The sequence below is a fragment of the Homo sapiens genome, chromosome 3, assembly GCF_000001405.40.
Source record: "Homo sapiens chromosome 3, GRCh38.p14 Primary Assembly".
NCBI classification, from domain to species: Eukaryota; Metazoa; Chordata; class Mammalia; order Primates; family Hominidae; genus Homo; species Homo sapiens.
The window spans coordinates 131,484,053-131,500,915 of record NC_000003.12 but is presented as its reverse complement, the minus strand read 5'-3'; the positions used below and the strand labels follow the sequence as shown (position 1 = coordinate 131,500,915).

Genomic DNA, 16,863 nt, shown 5'->3' with positions numbered 1-16,863 from the left:
CTCTATAGCCTCAGCTAACTTCTCAGAGTTTGAGTGATAGATGTTTTCTAATGAATAAAGTTGGGTAAGAATTGATACTAGGAAAGCAAAATGATGGATTTATCATGCCCATTATTTAAAACCAGAATATACCTAACTTATCTGTTTTCTTTATTTCATATATTTATGTTTGTTCATTTTACAAATATTTATTGAGCACCAATATGTCATGCCAGGCATGGTTGAAGGCACTTATATCTGTAAAGAACAGTCCTACTTTACTCTGTGAATATATTAGCATATTTCTTACGTGCCTGCTCCTCATACGGAAACCTGATTTTAGGAAAAACGATTTCATAATGTTGGTGAATGTTGCAAAAGCTTTTGTTCACATTGCTTTGGTTTTAATTGCCAGGTTCCTTTAGAGTTGGTCTTATTGCCTTGAAGCTGGGCATGATGCCTTTATGGACCAAGGATGGTCAAAAGCATGTGGTCACATTACTTCAGGTAAGAGAGAAACAGAAGACGTAAGAGATATCTATGTGTTTCAAGATCTGTTTGTGCAAACCTTAACAAGAACTATTTGTGTCCTGAAACATGGAACTGTATGGTGAAGAAAGGGGTGATGTTGAACATAAATAGTATTAAAGAACTTATGGTGGTTTCAGGAATGTTCTCACTCTTGCCTGAGCAGTGGCCTTCTGATACTGGTATTGGGATAACTGGAGCAATGAATTTTTTTTTAAGTATAACCTAGCCTTTTACAGATCCCCTTGTTTACTTCATAATTGGAAAAAAATCTCAATCCCATTTTGTTTCCTTTTATGGAGTTCTTTCAACTCCAGATTACAGTTTTGATCTTTTTGCTAACAGAATATAATACTCTTGTCTGGTGAGGCTGTATTTTGTTCACTAAGGTAAGCTATAGTCTAGTGGGTAAGAATGTGTGTCCTGAGACCAGAATACCTGAGTTGCAATCTTGATTCTGCCACTTACTAGTGTGTTCCTTGGAGCACTGTGCCTCATCTGTAAAAGATACTCTATTCTGTAAAAGAAATAATTGTGAGCTACTTCAAAAGGTTATTGTGTAGATTGCACCAGATGATAAATGTCAGGCACTTGAAACAATGTTAAGTGTCCACTAAATATTAGCTACTATTGTCTTTATCATTATCATTGTTGTTATTATTATTATTATTATTATTATAGAAAGATACTGGTAAGAGATCATCACTCCCCCAATCACTTTGAACAACTCAGTTGATCTTGGGGCTTAGTCTTAGGCAAGTAATGATACAGGTGATGTAAAGTAACAGCTCATGCACCTAAGTGCTTAGAGTGCTAATAAGGCTCAAAGAGTCTATAGATCCTTTGCAAATTATTATTGGCTCTGAATGATCAAGTATAAGACAATAGTTTTGTGAACTCTGAAGAAACTGGCGGGGGCAGGGGGCTTTCAGTAATGGCTGGTGGGATTGTAAATTGGTACAAAACCATTTTGGAAAACACTTTAGCATTATGTGGCAAAATTAAGACGAGTTAGCCTGTAGTCTAGCAATTCCACTTCCAAGTATTACTAGAAAACTTGAGCAGCAGCATCACACTTAACGCCAACAAACTAGAAATAACCCAAGTCTCTGTCCACAGTAGAACAGGTAAACAAATCATGTTATATTCACATAATGAAATGTTGTACAGCAATGAAAATGAACAGAATAGAGCTACACACAATATAGATGAACCTTACAAATATGTTAAGTGAAGTAAGACATGGAAGAGTACATAAAATGCATAAAATCTGATTCCATTTATATAAAGTTTAAAGCAGGCAATACTTTCCAATATAGTAATTATAAAGAAAAGTAAATAGTTACCATAAATGTCAAGAGTTATTTCTAGGGCAGTGCTTCTCAAACTTTAGTGAACCTCAGAATCACTTAGAGGTCTTATAAAACACAAAGATTCTGATTCAGTAGGTCTGGATTGAGGCCTGAGAATCAGTGTCTTTATTAAGTTCCCAGGGAATCCTGACACTGCTTGTCTGGTGACCATACTTTTGAGAACTCCTGCTCTTGGGTAAAAAGATGAGGAGGTGATTGGGAAGAGACACACACGGGCTTTTGGGATTCTACTTCTTGAGCTGGGTAGTGGTTACATGTATATTTTGTTTATACTCATTTTGTTGTATATGTTCTTTTCTGTATGTATTTAATCTTTTTTTTTTTTTTTTTTTTTGAGACGGAGTCTTGCTCTGTCCCCCAGGCTGGAGTGCAGTGGCACGATCTTGGCTTACTGCAAGCTCCGCCTCCCGGGTTCTTGCCATTCTTCTGCCTCAGCCTCCCGAGTAGCTGGGACTATAGGCGCCCACCAGCATGCCCGGCTAATTTTTTGTATTTTTAGTAGAGATGGGGTTTCACCGTGTTAGCCAGGATGGTCTCGATCTCCTGACTTCATGAGCTGCCCGCCTCGGCCTCCCAAAGTGTGTATTTAATCTTTTTTTTTTTAATTTATATTTTTAAGATTGTGGTTGGTGTTAGAGGAAAGATGAGGTAAGTAACTGTAGGGAATTCCTATTTGTCCTAAGGTCTCAATGGGGCTGGTTTGTAATGTTAAAATATATATTGGCACATGCTTAGTTTTTTTATGTTTGTTTTTTTAGGTACAAGACTGTCATGTCTTAAAATATACGTCAAAGGAAAACTGTAATGGAAAAATGGCAACCCTGTCTGTAGGAGGAAAAACTGTATCACGTTTTCGTGTAAGGATGTATTTTCATAGCTAGAATACTGCATTTTTCATCAGTTTCAAATCTGGATGAGTTTATGTTTTGAGATTGTTCCACAGCCACAAACTTGCATTTGTTTGTGAGGTAAATTGTGTATTTGGGGGAGGCAGTCTGGCACAGCCATTTTGCCCAGGAGTCTTGGAGACTCTTGAGTTTGTTCTAATACCTCTCCCTGTATCTGGAACAAGTAATTTTACCTCTCTAAGCTGTAGTGCTTGTATATCTGTACAATGGGAACAAAAATACTACATACCTAATAGATTTATCACAAGGATTAAATTAGGTTTTTCAGATGTGCTTGGAATATAACAGACACTCAGTAGATTTGGTTATTTTGTTATTGTTTTATGTTTCATTTCACTTTCTTCCTATGGAAAATTGTCTTAACTCTTGACACCAAGAGCATGTGGAAATTAATTTTGTGTATTCTGGAAGGAGCTTTCAGTGTTTGGGAGAAAGCTGTATAAGAATCCAAATCAGATTTTTTTTAATAAAGCATTTTTTTTTAAGTAGAGTACTGAGTTTGTAGTTTAAGTTTGGAAAAGCTGCCCAATGAGTATCCTGTATTGAATAACTAAAACCAGAAAACCTTTCTCAAAATGGTGATGGTTTTCAGTAAACATCTTTAGGTTTACTATAACACATTGCTTATCTCTAAGACAAACTTTTTTTTCATTGTAAACTGTTTATGAAATGAACAAGGCAGAAATTAGGATACAACCCATACTCTCTGACTGTCAAAACTATCAGGTGTTTATCCTACTAACTACTCTATTTTCTGATAGTTAACTTTTATTGAACATTTATTACATGCCACGTGCATAAGCATTACGCTTTTTTCATTTGTTACTTTATATAAACTTTTCAGCCTCTGAGGCTAACGCAGTTAACTAACTCATTCAAAGTCACCCACTGGTAAAAGGTAGAGCGACAGACACCAGAGCCTTACTTAACTGTGTCTTGATATCTACCCACTGGGAGCTCATAAGCTAGTGAGGAAGTTACACAAATAAACCAGCCATCCCAGTACAATATTATAAATCCAAGGAGCACAGAACCGGAGACAGCCAATTCTGCCAGGGAAAATCCCAGGAGGTTTCACAGGGAGAACAGAAAGGAAAATGGGTGTTACAGGCATGCCAGAGAGAATGGCCTCTGCAGAAGCAGAGACAACATGGAAGAGCATGTGTGCTTGGGGAGAGAAGTGTAATGTGGCTGCATTTTAGTGTGCAGGCCTGGGCCAGTGTTGGGAGGGTGGTGAAGCTGCAGCTATCAAGGTAGTGTGTGAGGTTTAGACTTCATCTTACGGACTTTGAGGTGCTTTCTGAATTCTTTAACTAGGTCAGTAACTTGTTCAGATTGTTAAATTAGTTAACTAAAATTTTAAAAATCTGATAGAAGGAAAGAGTTTTTAGGAGATTGTTTTAAGAGATCAGGGGAGAGTTGATAAGAGCCTTTAGAAGCAAGGCAGTTGCATTGAGATTGGAAGGGGCAGGGATTGGAAAGGACTAGGTGGGAGGACACAACTAGGTCAGTGCTGATTGCATACTCTGGGATAGGAACAAGGAAAAGGGAAGCTTTGGAGGAAAGATGTTTGAGATGTTCACAGGAAATCATAGTTCTATAAATGGTGAGAAATACTGATTAGTCAATAAGTGGTGGTGGAAATCACTGAAATCTGTGACATGGTTTATTTTGTTTCGTGTTAGAGAAGTTAGCTATTTTTGAATATTATGGTAGCATACTCCATTTATTTTTCTTTAAAGCTTTGTCATAATATCTGTCCTGCTATTCTTAACAGTTTATTGACTAACAAATTTGGGTTTCATATAACTCCATAGTAATTATAGAGTACAATGAGATATTTATGGGAACTTTTTAAAAAAATCAAGTGTTTGACTTTTTAAAAATTTATTATGTACCAGCCTTCATATGAGTAATTCTTTGGTTTGATAGATGCCACTGTTTTCTACTTGATTGTACTTCTGTGTTTTTGTAATGACTAGCATCATCATCTTCATTTTCATTACAAGTTTTGTAAATTGATGCCTTCATGGCCTGGATATTTGTAAATCAAGCATGCTAGGGTAATCCCTTCTGCCCCAGCCAGGTCTGTGAAGATTGCTTCCTCTGAAATATGAGGTAGTGAGAAAACAAGTGATGTGGGATCAGAAAAGTTGAGTTCTAATCCTGATTTCTACCTTTAGGTCCCCTATACTCACCTTTTGAACATCTATTTTCTTACCCATAAAAACAAGGAATAGTACTTGATGGTCTCTGAATTATCTTCCAGTTCTGAAAGTCTCACATTGGTTCTCTGAATATTTTAATTCTCAAGAAAAAACAAGTTTGGAGAAAAAAAGTACATGGGAGCTCAATTTATTCTATTTTACTTAGTGATAAAGATGTGTTATAATCAAAATTTTATGAAAGTAATACTAATAGTATTACTATAACAGTACTAATAATTAATATTACAGAATGATAGGTATTGCATTTCATAGTCGAGGCTGTTCACACATTTTTTTCTCTTTAGCTTATTCTGATAGCTTTATTCTCTTCAGTGGTTACATAGCACAGCAGGGTGATTTGGATGTTGTGTTCTAATGTTGTGGTGGATTTTGACCCACTTAATTTACGTAAACTTTGAAAACTTCACTTCTCTAGCATAGAAAGTACTGCGAAGGACCTTCTTTCTTCAAGATATAAAATTTCTTCAAGATATAAAATTTCTAAGTCCAGATGACATTTATTACAATAACAAGAAAAAGCTTTGTCTATAAAATGACCTTTCTTCAAAATGAAATGTGAAAATGAAGTTTTAGAATTCTTTGTAAATACATCATTTTTGTTTGAAAACAAAGATTTTTGAAACTAAAAGTATCCAGACTTCCATATTATAGCTCTCAGGAAAAAATGCAAATCGATTGATTATAGAGGATTTTTTAAAAAACGAAGACCTATGAATATAAAATTTCATATATCTAAACATTTGGAAATTAAATCACTTTATAATAGTGTTAGAACTGTTTTCTTTTAATCTGTAAAGAATTTATGCCTCCAAGAAATTAGACTACGTTGCCTTTTTGTTTTGTACCTTATTATAAATAAAAACTGAGGTAGTACATAGTGTTTTTGAATGAGGAAGTTAAGTGGCCTTAAACATTGATTAAATCAATTCATCTTAGGAGGAGAGGCATTTTCATTGTGGGAAGGATAATTGCAGAGAACTTTGAAGTGGGGGAAAAGAATGCAACCTCATAGATGGGATTATCCAACTGTGACAGTACTGTCAGTCTTTTAAATTGCCTTTTGAAATCATTTACTTATTTAGAAGTCTGAAAAAAAGAAAAAAGTCTTTTACATTGCTTCTGGTTTTAACTCTACTTGAGCATTTGGTTTTCCTCCTGACTGAGACCTAATTAGTTTTATAATATTTTGATTTTAAAAGAAAAAAGTATTTACTATTAGTGAAATTGGATGATAATCGAGAAGTATGTTTTACCTTGGTTCTATTTATGGTTTAGTCTAAAAAGTTACTTAGGATGAAATGTTTATATATATTGTCTGTTTTGTATTATTAGAATAGTAAAGGATTTTCCTCAGAAGCTTCCAGATATGCTTAAAAAGCTGGCATTAACAAAATAATATGCTTTGAAAATCACGTGGAATAGGTGAATGTCAAAAATAAACTTGAAGTCCATTCTAAAATTTAATAAATCTGAATTTTATACATCAGGAAAATAATTTAAAGGAGCCATACTGTTAAATGAAAATTTTGTGTTTGCTCTTGTTGCAGAAGTGAGTATGATTGAAGATGAAAAGCAGGGGACTTGATAATAGTGGTGTTGGGTGTTAGTGTTAATTTCAGCGTGTAGGAAATAAAATAATAGAGAATGATTGGAATGAATTTGTGTTATCACTCTTGTGGAGGAAAGGATAGCTTCTTGAGAGAACTCTTGTGAGGTATAGAACAGTCTTCAGTGGACATCAAAGTAGAGCTTCTTGGCATTTGTTGTAGGCTCCACTGGAGAGCCCCAGGGGGATTCCTGGTAAGTTGTAGACTGATCCAAAAATTAAACTGTGTGCTTACAGGCCAGTGCCACCCAATTTCATGTCAACTATAGGCAACTGAGTAAGTTATAAGTACTAATGGTTTACATTTTAAACTGAACAAGTAACTAAAGTTTGCTAAGTATTCACATATTATATTCTACAAACAAGTCTGACTCTGCAGGCACTTCATTGGAATTTGGGGGAAGGATACTTTGTTATTATCAGTGTCATCTTGAGTTGGTTAGGGTTTTTTAGTTGCTGCTATTCTTGCTTTTTGAAAATTACAATTACTATTGGTTTGGTTTTATAATAGTTTCTTGCTGATTTGTTCGTCCTCAGAGCAAGTCATGATATATCTCTTAGGCCTATACTTTTACAGTAACTAGACCTGAAGATTGAGGCCACAAACACAGTAACGTCGTGTTCCAAGAACTGATGGAGCAGAAGAGTAGAAAAGTGGGAAGAGTTAGACAAACTTTATACCCAGATGGTTGCCTGTCCTTTATCTTCTGTTTCTTTTCATCGTTGGTTTAGCCCACTTCTTTATTGTCTAACTTGCCACTGTGCTTAGCTGTAAAGTTAGAGACACAGATGAATAAAAAACAGCCTTTACCATCCAGGTGCTCACAGGTCAGCATGCTGACCAACATTTGAGTAGATAAGTGTATGGTGATATGGACAGTAATTGAGATATTCCAGTGTCTAGTGTTGGCATAGACAAAGGAGCAATGTGCTCTGGTAAGGCTGCTCAGAGAGGGATCTGGATAGGAAATATAACTGAATTTAGTACTAGAGACATGTACTTATATTTCCCAGTGTGAAGAGTGCCTCTTTCACCAGAATAAAACGAACACAGATACATCTACCTGCTGTTCCCTCTTCCTCAACTTTGAAGCTTTGGAGATGCAGGGTAGGGAGGAGATCACAGATGAAGAGAGTGGTGCAGACAGATTCAGGAAAGCATACATAGAGTAACATAGCCATTGGGGGCCTGCGGGTTCTTCATTTATGGTTAGAAAGTTGAGGGAGAGCGAACAGCAGGAAAATAGATGTACTATGTTATATTGTGATGAAAGAGGCACTCTTCACATCAGGAAATAAAAAGTGGCATAACTTTTTTGTCAAGTCCTATAGCAATCTATATCGAGTCTTAAGAATTAAGGTGGGGGGAAGACCCAGGAATTATAAGAAAATAAGATGTCCATAGGTTTTGTTTTTAGTGACACTGGTTGTAGTGATATTTACAATAGCAGGACAGAAGGCAGGAGTGGAGAGCAGACAGCAGGTTCTACCAGGAGCTGGGGATATAGCAGCAACTAAAGCAAGTCTCTGCTTTCAGGAAGCTTAGATTTGGGTAGGTTTGGGGGTGAAATGGGGAGGCTGTTACATAGAACAGGGGTCCCCATCCCCTGGGCTGTAGACTGCTCTGTGGCCTGTTAGGAATGGGAACTGCACAGCAGGAGGTGAATGGCAGGTGAGTGAGCATTAGTTACCACCCGAGCTCTACCTCCTGTCAGTCAGATCAGTGGCAGCGTTAGATTCTTATAGGAGCGCAAACCCTATAGGAGCTGTGTGTGCGAGGGATCTAGGTTGCATGCTCCTTATGAGACTCTAATGCCTGATAATCTGAGGTGGAACAGTTTCATTCTGAAACCATCCCTCTTGCTGCCTCCACTGGTCTGTGGAAAAATGGTCTTCCATGAAACCAGTCGCTGGTACCGAAAAGGTTGGGTACTGCTGACATAGAAACAGTAAAAAATGTGTATCATGACACATGGAGATAAATGCTTTGAAGGGTAATACTAAAAATATAAAGGATTTTTCTCGGAAGCTTCCTGGTATGCCTAAAAAACTGGTATTAATAAAATAATATGCTTTAATAAAATAAAAGTAGGCTGAGGGGATAAGTGACAAAAAATGATGCTATTTCAGATTGAGTAATTAGACAAGGTAAGTTGATATTTTGATTGATACCTGAATAAGTAAGGGAGCCAGTCATGCAAAAATATGGCAGAAAAGCATTCTAGACAGAGGCAATAGGATGCGCAAAGGTCTTGAGGCTAGTGTTTGATGTGTTCTTGGGCCAATAAGGGAGTGCATTTTTTCTGAAGCAGGGTGAGTCAGGAGGAGAGTAAAAGATGAGGTCAGATTGTGTAGAACATTTTAAACCATGGTAAGGACTTAGGACTTGATTCTGTAAGAAGTAGAAGCCACTGTAGATACATGATATGGCTTGAGTTTTAAAATGATAATGCCAGCCTGTGAATTGAGAACAGACTAGAGAGTCGGAAGGGTGGAAGCTTGGAGACCAGTTTGGAGGCTATTGAAATAATCCAGGCAGAAGATAGTGGATGAGGTTGACATTGGGATGGGGTGGTAAGTGGTTGGCGTGGGCTATATTTTTAAATAGTCTGGAGGAATTGCTGATGAATGGGACATGGAATGTGAAGAAGAAAAGAATCAAGGGTGACCATAAGATTTTTGACCTATACGGCAGCATTATGGAGTTGCCTTTTTTATTGAGATTTGGAAGAAGGCCTGGGAAGGGCAGGCTTGGTGAAGGGAGTTGAGTTCAGTTTTAGACACGTTAAGCTTAAGTTTCTATATGACATTGAAGTGGAGATAATGACTTGGCAGTTGGACATGTGAATGTATAGTTCAAAGTAGAATTTGGAATTGAAGTTAGAAATGTGCAGACATTCACATATATGAGAACCGAGAGAGTAGTAACTGGAAGCCAAGAGAAAGTCTTCCATGGAGAGAGTGGTCACCTGTGTTAAGCATTGCTGGTAGATTCAGTAAAATGAGTATCAACCAGTGTGGTTGACCGTATGGAGATCCTTGGTGAATGACAAGCACTTTGCATTGAGTGCTAGGAGCTGAAAGTGCTGATTAAACTGGGTTCACAGAATGGGAGGAGAGAAAGTAGACTTGGCAAGTCTTTCCAGGAGCTTTGCTGTAAGGGGGAACAGAAAAATTAGCTAAAGAATATGTGGTCAAGAAAAAGTTTGTTTTAATATGTGAATTATTGTGACATGTTATATATAGTGATAGGAAGTTCCAGTAGAAAGGGGAAAAAAATGAAGATTTCTTAGAAGAGAGTGGGGACAATTTCAGGAGGAAACCATTGAATAGGTGAGAAGGGGTGGGAATTAGTGCTTTTAATAAAAGTATGGAGAGCTCATCTGTCAGCATGATTTCCAGCCCCAGTTTGACATAGAAATCATGTGAGGTGCTTGAAAATTAGCAATGCCTAGACCCCACACTAGACAGTGAAATTACAATCTCTAAGCAGAGGGCCCTTGCCGTTGGCATTTTCCAGAAGCTCTCCATGTGCATCTCATGTGTAACCTAGAGTGGGGTGGGAGGATAGTACTGTTAATATATTAGTGCTGGTATAGACAATTTGGTAAAAGCATGGAGAAGTTCTCTTAATTCTTTTATTTGATCAACTCAAAGGGAGGAAGAGGAAACAGTGCTGAAGATTTTAGAAAAGGATGTGACTTAGTTTTCTTATAGAGTGTGAAAATGATTTAACCAGAGATATGTAGGTATCTCTAGATATAAGCAGGCCACATTTGAGATTCTGAAGTTTGTGGTCATAACATTTAAATGTAACATACCGTGTTTTCTTCCAGTTTAGAATAAGTGCAGAATAGGCAGAGTTGATTTTTCGGGGTTTGGGTTCTTAATTCAGACAGTCTCCAGTCAGAATTTAAATATGAGCACAACTCTCTATTTTCCTGCAGAACAGAGGTCTTTCCCAGTGTGCTATATTTGAACACTATGTACATGATTGGAATCTAAATAGTAAGATTATTCAGAGATGTAATAAAATATAGCTATAAATCTCACCTCCCTTAAATAAGGGGAATTGGGTGCCCTTTGTTCATTAAGGAATAAGGTATGCTTTGATTTATTTTCTGGGGTGTTAATAACTTGGTTTAGATCTCCATGCATTTAATTCCACTTTTAATATTCAATGTATTACTTATATGTGCTGCTTTTCCTCTAGAAAGCTACATCCATATTGGAATTTTACCGGGAACTTGGATTGCCGCCGAAACAGACAGTTAAAATCTTTAATATAACAGATAATGCTGCAATTAAACCAGGTAATTTGAGGTTGGGGAGAGGAGGGAGGTAAAAATACCCAAATATGCAATTTGTTTAATGTCAGCCCTTTCAATAAAGCTACATCTAAAATGCAAAGTCTCAAACACTTACTTTTAAATACAAAACTGTATCTCATTTTGTTTTTTTTTTTTTTTAGTGGAAAAACCTGTAGATAACTCTTTGCTTTCTGTGAGAGAGGGAGGAACACTTTTGTTTTTAATGTAGAGAGAGTTTAATATTTGAAAAAGCCACCTCAAAGAAATACACTAACTTTTAAAATTCAAAGATCGTTGTTCACAGGCTGGCATTCATGAAAAATAGCCAGGCTCTTGCTTAGGTAGAAGAACTGGAGAAAATATAATAACAGAAGGGACCGACCATAGCACCTCAATGTAAAGATTCTTACTTAAAATTTCCAAGATATTTTGCCTAATCCGTGGACTGTCAAAGAGTAAAGATTTGGCATATGATTATATTGGCTCATATGGTTAGCAAAATATAACATTTTGATGTCTGAACTTCAGAAAAGCTCCCTGATCTCTGAACTTGAGTTCTGACAAGAAGACAGTAGAATGCTGCTTTAAGATTTGGTATTTAATATCGGAACTAAACTGCTTTAAGTAAAATACAGTTGCAGTAGGCTTTTATTGGTGTGACAGAGGGTCAGCCTTGATACAAGGTAGAATTAAAAGTATTCTTTGAAGTTAAGATTTTGCAATTTTAAGGCAAGGTAAATGGAATTAAACAAATATAAAAATTAGTAGAAGTACTTGGGCCATTGTATATTAGAATAGTTTATAATGGAAATACTTTAAATATAAAGGGATAGTTCTAAAATATTTGGTTGTGTAGACAGTTCTGAAGCACTTTTTAATATTCTCTTTGGTATTAACACATCTAACTTTCTTAAACTCTTTGTTTATGTTTATGATAAAGATAAAATTAAGCCACATTAACTTTTGCTGTAGCTCAAATCATACAAAATTGTTTTTGGGGTCAAAAATGGTCAAAAATCAGCAATTCAGCCTCATAAAAGGTCACTTAATTTCTTTTTAAAAAATTAATACTATTTTTTGATTGACAAATCAAAATTATATACATTTATGGGATACAGTGTGATGTTTTGATAATATGTAGACAATGTGGAATGATTAAATCTCTATATTTTCTTCATTCAAGGTTTTTCTCTGCCTATATAAATCCAGGTTGGGTTATAACTTAAAGGAAGTTCCCCCCCTGCAATCTTACAGCACTTTGCTGCTTGTATTAAATAAACTATAACTATAAATAAACTTTCAGTTACATTCTCTACTACAGTGGTTTCTGCCATTTAAAAAAATGTATCTTATTTGATGATGTTAATGTTTATTCTTCACCAAGATAATAAATTTCTTGCTGTCAGGGGCCATGTCTTATATTCTTATATTCTTGAATTTCTAGCTGCACATATTTGTAAGTGCCCTATAAATGTTTGCTAATTGATTGCCAAATAGTTCTTATAAATGTTACTTTCAAGTTTATGTAAACAATATTATGAAGGGCTTTGATTCATCACAAAATTTAAAACTTTTTAAAATAACATTTCCCAAGTACATTTAAAGTAAGACTTTATTTGCATACAACTAGTTTTGTAAACGTTTCTATATAAAATTTAATAAGTATCTATAAAGGCAATTTTTTGCTATTCTAATTATCTAGGCATGAACTGGAGAACTATAGTTTATTGGTACAATGAAGAGTTCACCCAAAATCTGATATGTAGAGGCTTTATATAGATGTCATACATACCATGATCATTACACACCATATGAGGGACTTGGGTTCAAGTAATTGTTTCCTGTTTGTCCAATGGGTGCAGGATATTTAATGAAGCCCCAACATTTTTTGGTTATTCTTGTTTTTGTTTTCCCAATGTGAAGACAAGAAACATATCTTAATTTAGTATACTGTTATTCACTAAAACAACCAAGAATCATCAAATTTATATGTTTGACAGCAAGAACACTGTGTTGTCATGGGAATCACTCATTTCAAACAGCACCACTTTTGGTCTCTGTGAAGTCAATCAAAAGACATATTTGTTGAATAATTTCATTGTTTGGATGTTTCTAATTGCAGAAGAGAATCTCTTACCATTTTTGAAATCAGCTAGAAGCCTTCCTGGATATAGTTTATGTTGAATAAAGTTGTTTCTGTGCTGTCAAATTTCATATTGATTTTTCATTTTCTTTTCATAAAGGCACTCCTCTTTATGCTGCTCACTTTCGTCCAGGACAGTATGTGGATGTCACAGCCAAAACGTAGGTCCTCATAGCGAGTTCTCTTTTCCTTTTGTTTTCATCTATTAAAAGAGAATAGAATAAGTGAAAGAAGTACAGTCTTTCAAGTCAGTGAATAAAGGATAAATATATTTCTCATTCTGAATTCAAATCTTTCATGTTACCTACACTGGTTTTTAAATTGTGCCAAATTAATTGTATGTAAAGGGTTCACATCAGGTTATAGCTTTTATTTTTATTTGTTTTTTTTTTATTATACTTTAAGTTCTAGGGTACATGTGCACAACGTGCAGGTTTGATACATAGGTAGACGTGTGCCATGTTGGTTTGCTGCACCCATCAACTCGTCATTTATATTAGGTATTTCTCTTAATGCTATCCCTCCCCCAGCCCCTCACCGCTGACAGGGCCTGGTGTGTGATGTTCCCCGCCCTGTGTCCAAGTGTTCTCATTGTTCAATTCCCACCTATGAGTGAGAACATGCGGTGTTTGGTTTTCTGTCCTTGTGATAGTTTGCTCAGAATGATGGTTTCCAGCTTCCATGTCCCTGCAAAGGACATGAACTCATCTTTTTTTATGGCTGCATAGTATTCCATGGTGTATATGTGCTACATTTTGTTAATCCAGTCTATCATTGATGGACATTCGGGTTGGTTCCAAGTCTTTGCTATTGTGAATAGTGCCACAATAAACATATGTGTGCATGTGTCTTTATAGTAGCATGATTTATAATCCTTTGGGTATATACCCAGTAATGGGATTGCTGGGTCAAATGGTATTTCTAGTTCTAGATCCTTGAGGAATCGCCACACTGTCTTCCATAATGGTTGAACTAATTTACACTCCCACCAACAGTGTAAAAGCGTTTGTATTTCTCCACATCCTCTCCAGCATCTGTTGTTTCCTTTTTAATGATTGCCATTCTGACTGGCATGAGATGGTATCTCATTGTGGTTTTGATTTGCATTTCTTTGATGACCGGTGATGAGCATTTTTTCATGTGTCTGTTGGCTGCATAGTTGTCTTCTTTTGAGAAGTGTCTGTTCATATCCTTTGCCCACTTTTTGATGGGGTTGGTTTTTTTCTTGTAAATTTGTTTGAGTTCTTTGTAGATTCTGGATATTAGCCCTGTGTCAGATGGGTAGATTACAAAAATTTTCCAGCGCACCAGCATGGCACATGTATACATATGTAACTAACCTGCACAATGTGCACATGTACCCTAAAACTTAGAGTATAATAAAAAAAAAAAAAAATTTTTCTCCCATTCTGTAGGTTGCCTATTCATTCTGATGGTAGTTTTTTTTGGTTTTTTTTTTTTTTTTTTTTTTTTTTTGCCGTGCAGAAGCTCTTTGGTTTAATGAGATCCCATTTGTCAATTTTGGCTTTTGTTGCCATTGCTTTTGGTGTTTCAGTCATGAAGTCCTTGCCCATGCCTATGTCCTGAATAGTATTGCCTAGGTTTTCTTCTAGGGTTTTTATGGTTTTAGGTCTAACATTTAAGTCTTTAATCCATCTTGAATTAATTTTTGTATAAGGTGTAAGAAAGGGATCCAGTTTCATCTTTCTACATATGGCTAGCCAGTTTTCCCAGCACCATTTATTAAATAGGGAATCCTTTCCCCATTTCTTGTTGTTGTCAAGTTTGTCAAAGATCAGATGTTTGTTTCTTCAACATAAATGATAATTTCATTTCTTTTGATGCCTCAGTTTTCTCCTTTTTGTTGCATGATAATTCTGCAGGGATTATTCTGACTAGGAACCCTCTGAAAAATATGCCATTGTTTACAGATGCTCTGGGATAAGTTTGTAATCACAGAGATTGAGCCAGAGCACCTTTTATCAAAAGAAACTGGGGGAGTGCTAGTATCACTTTCCTTCACATGGTTAAGATGCATTCTTCCTAGTTTCAAATATAGGTCATTGCAAAAGCTGCTGGCTGCTTTAATAACCTTCATTTCGCTATTTAGAAATGAAATGTGGGATAGATTGGTAATAAGATGAGTCTTCTTTTTAAAGAGATTGTAAACCTGTCCCCCTTTTTTTTTTCCTGCTTCCTGATTATCGTGAACTTGTTCCTAGTTACAAGAACCCCTGAAATCACTGGTTCCTTGGTAACTCTGTTTTGCATTCCTTTGGCAGAACTCAAAATATTGGAGCTTAAAAGCTTTGATTTGGTTAGTTGGGGAAATATGTGTGTTGTAAATCAGATTATTTTACTTGTTAATTTTTGAATTATTGCATATAAAATGCCACATAGTAATTTTGTTAATTTACACACAGTTAATGTTGTGTGAATTCCATTATGTATTTTATACAATATGGGATATTCTAAGAAACCACGCAAAGTCAGAGGCCTTTGTTAACATTTGCCTTGTGGCTGGACTTGTGACTAACTTGGATTAGAGTCTAGCTTTTCAAATGCCTATCTTCAGTGAATGCTTTCATCTCATATGCTTCTGTTTGGTTTCCTTGGCTTCTTTAAAGTGATTTTTAAAACTTCAGCTGCCTTCTTGTAAGCATAAAGTAAAAGAGGAAAACTTTTGTTTTTTGGTTTTTTGTAAGATCATTTTCATAGAAAACAAGATTATGTAAAGCCATGCACCAGCTTCAGGATTAAATAGCTGGTAAGAGTTGGGGGAACAACCAGCCCTGGAATTTAAAGTAGTGATAGTCAACTCTGGAGAAGTGAGGACCTCCATTTGAGAAGATCACCACTGTTATATGGGCTACAATACAATATTCTGTTTAACTTTTACTGTATTAACAGTGGGGCAGGGTTTTCCTCGCATGTGTGTGTGCATATCTTCATGAGGTATTTATTACTTACATGAGAATGAATTGGACTTTATTTGACCTTTTGCTAAATGTTACCAATAACTATAGCTCTTGTAGCTGACATCTTATTATTGCTGTAAGGTGCTTTTAATTTTAAATGCTTGTAAATTTATAGGATTCGTTGTCCTTCTCATCTGGAACTGTTTTGAATTTCCTGAGTGCAGCATTGTATTCCCAGCTGCATACAGCCCTAGTTGCCACTGCCTCTTCTCTCTGCCACTGACTTCCCACGTCTGTACATGTACACATACATGTGCATACCTTTGTTTAACTTTTTTTTTCTTTTTTAAACTCCTCTCTCTACTTTCCTTAATGCATTTTGGAACTTTTCGGCTCTATCTTCTGGATATTAATCCTGTTGGAAGGGTGAACACTAGGGGAACAATATGTGCAGTGCCATGGTTAAGGGAGTGATGAAAGGACATGGATTTATAGGCTGGAGCAGTGGGTCTCATGCTTGAGTAGGCTTTATAATCTCTTGGAGGTTTAGTTGAGCACAAATTGATGGACCCCACCCACGGAACTTCTGATTCTGTAGGTCTGGGGTTAATACCTGAGAATTTGCATTTCTACCAAGTTTCCAGGTGATATAGATGCTGCTGGTCCGGAAACACACATTGAGAACCACTGGGCTGGAAAATAGAAGCTCATCAGTTAAACCACTTTTCCTCCTCACTCCTCTACCTAGCACAGAATTCAGAATGCCTTTCTTTCCTTAACTCTGCTTGAATTATAACATACAAACATCTGTTTAAAAGCAAGCAAGTTTAATGTAATTAAAATAACATTGCCAATAAAAGTGAGTATTTA

At 36.1% G+C, this 16,863-nt stretch overlaps 1 protein-coding gene across 1 annotated transcript in view; it reads left to right on the top strand.

The window, feature by feature from the left end:
* Positions 1–16,863, top strand: part of MRPL3 (mitochondrial ribosomal protein L3) — a 40,760-nt gene that overhangs the window by 2,056 nt on the left and 21,841 nt on the right. Inside the window, exons 3-6 of the mRNA NM_007208.4 lie at positions 395–486; positions 2,639–2,737; positions 10,836–10,935; positions 13,176–13,236. Coding sequence (NP_009139.1) covers positions 395–486; positions 2,639–2,737; positions 10,836–10,935; positions 13,176–13,236 — 352 coding nt within the window. The remainder of the gene's footprint in view (positions 1–394; positions 487–2,638; positions 2,738–10,835; positions 10,936–13,175; positions 13,237–16,863) is intronic.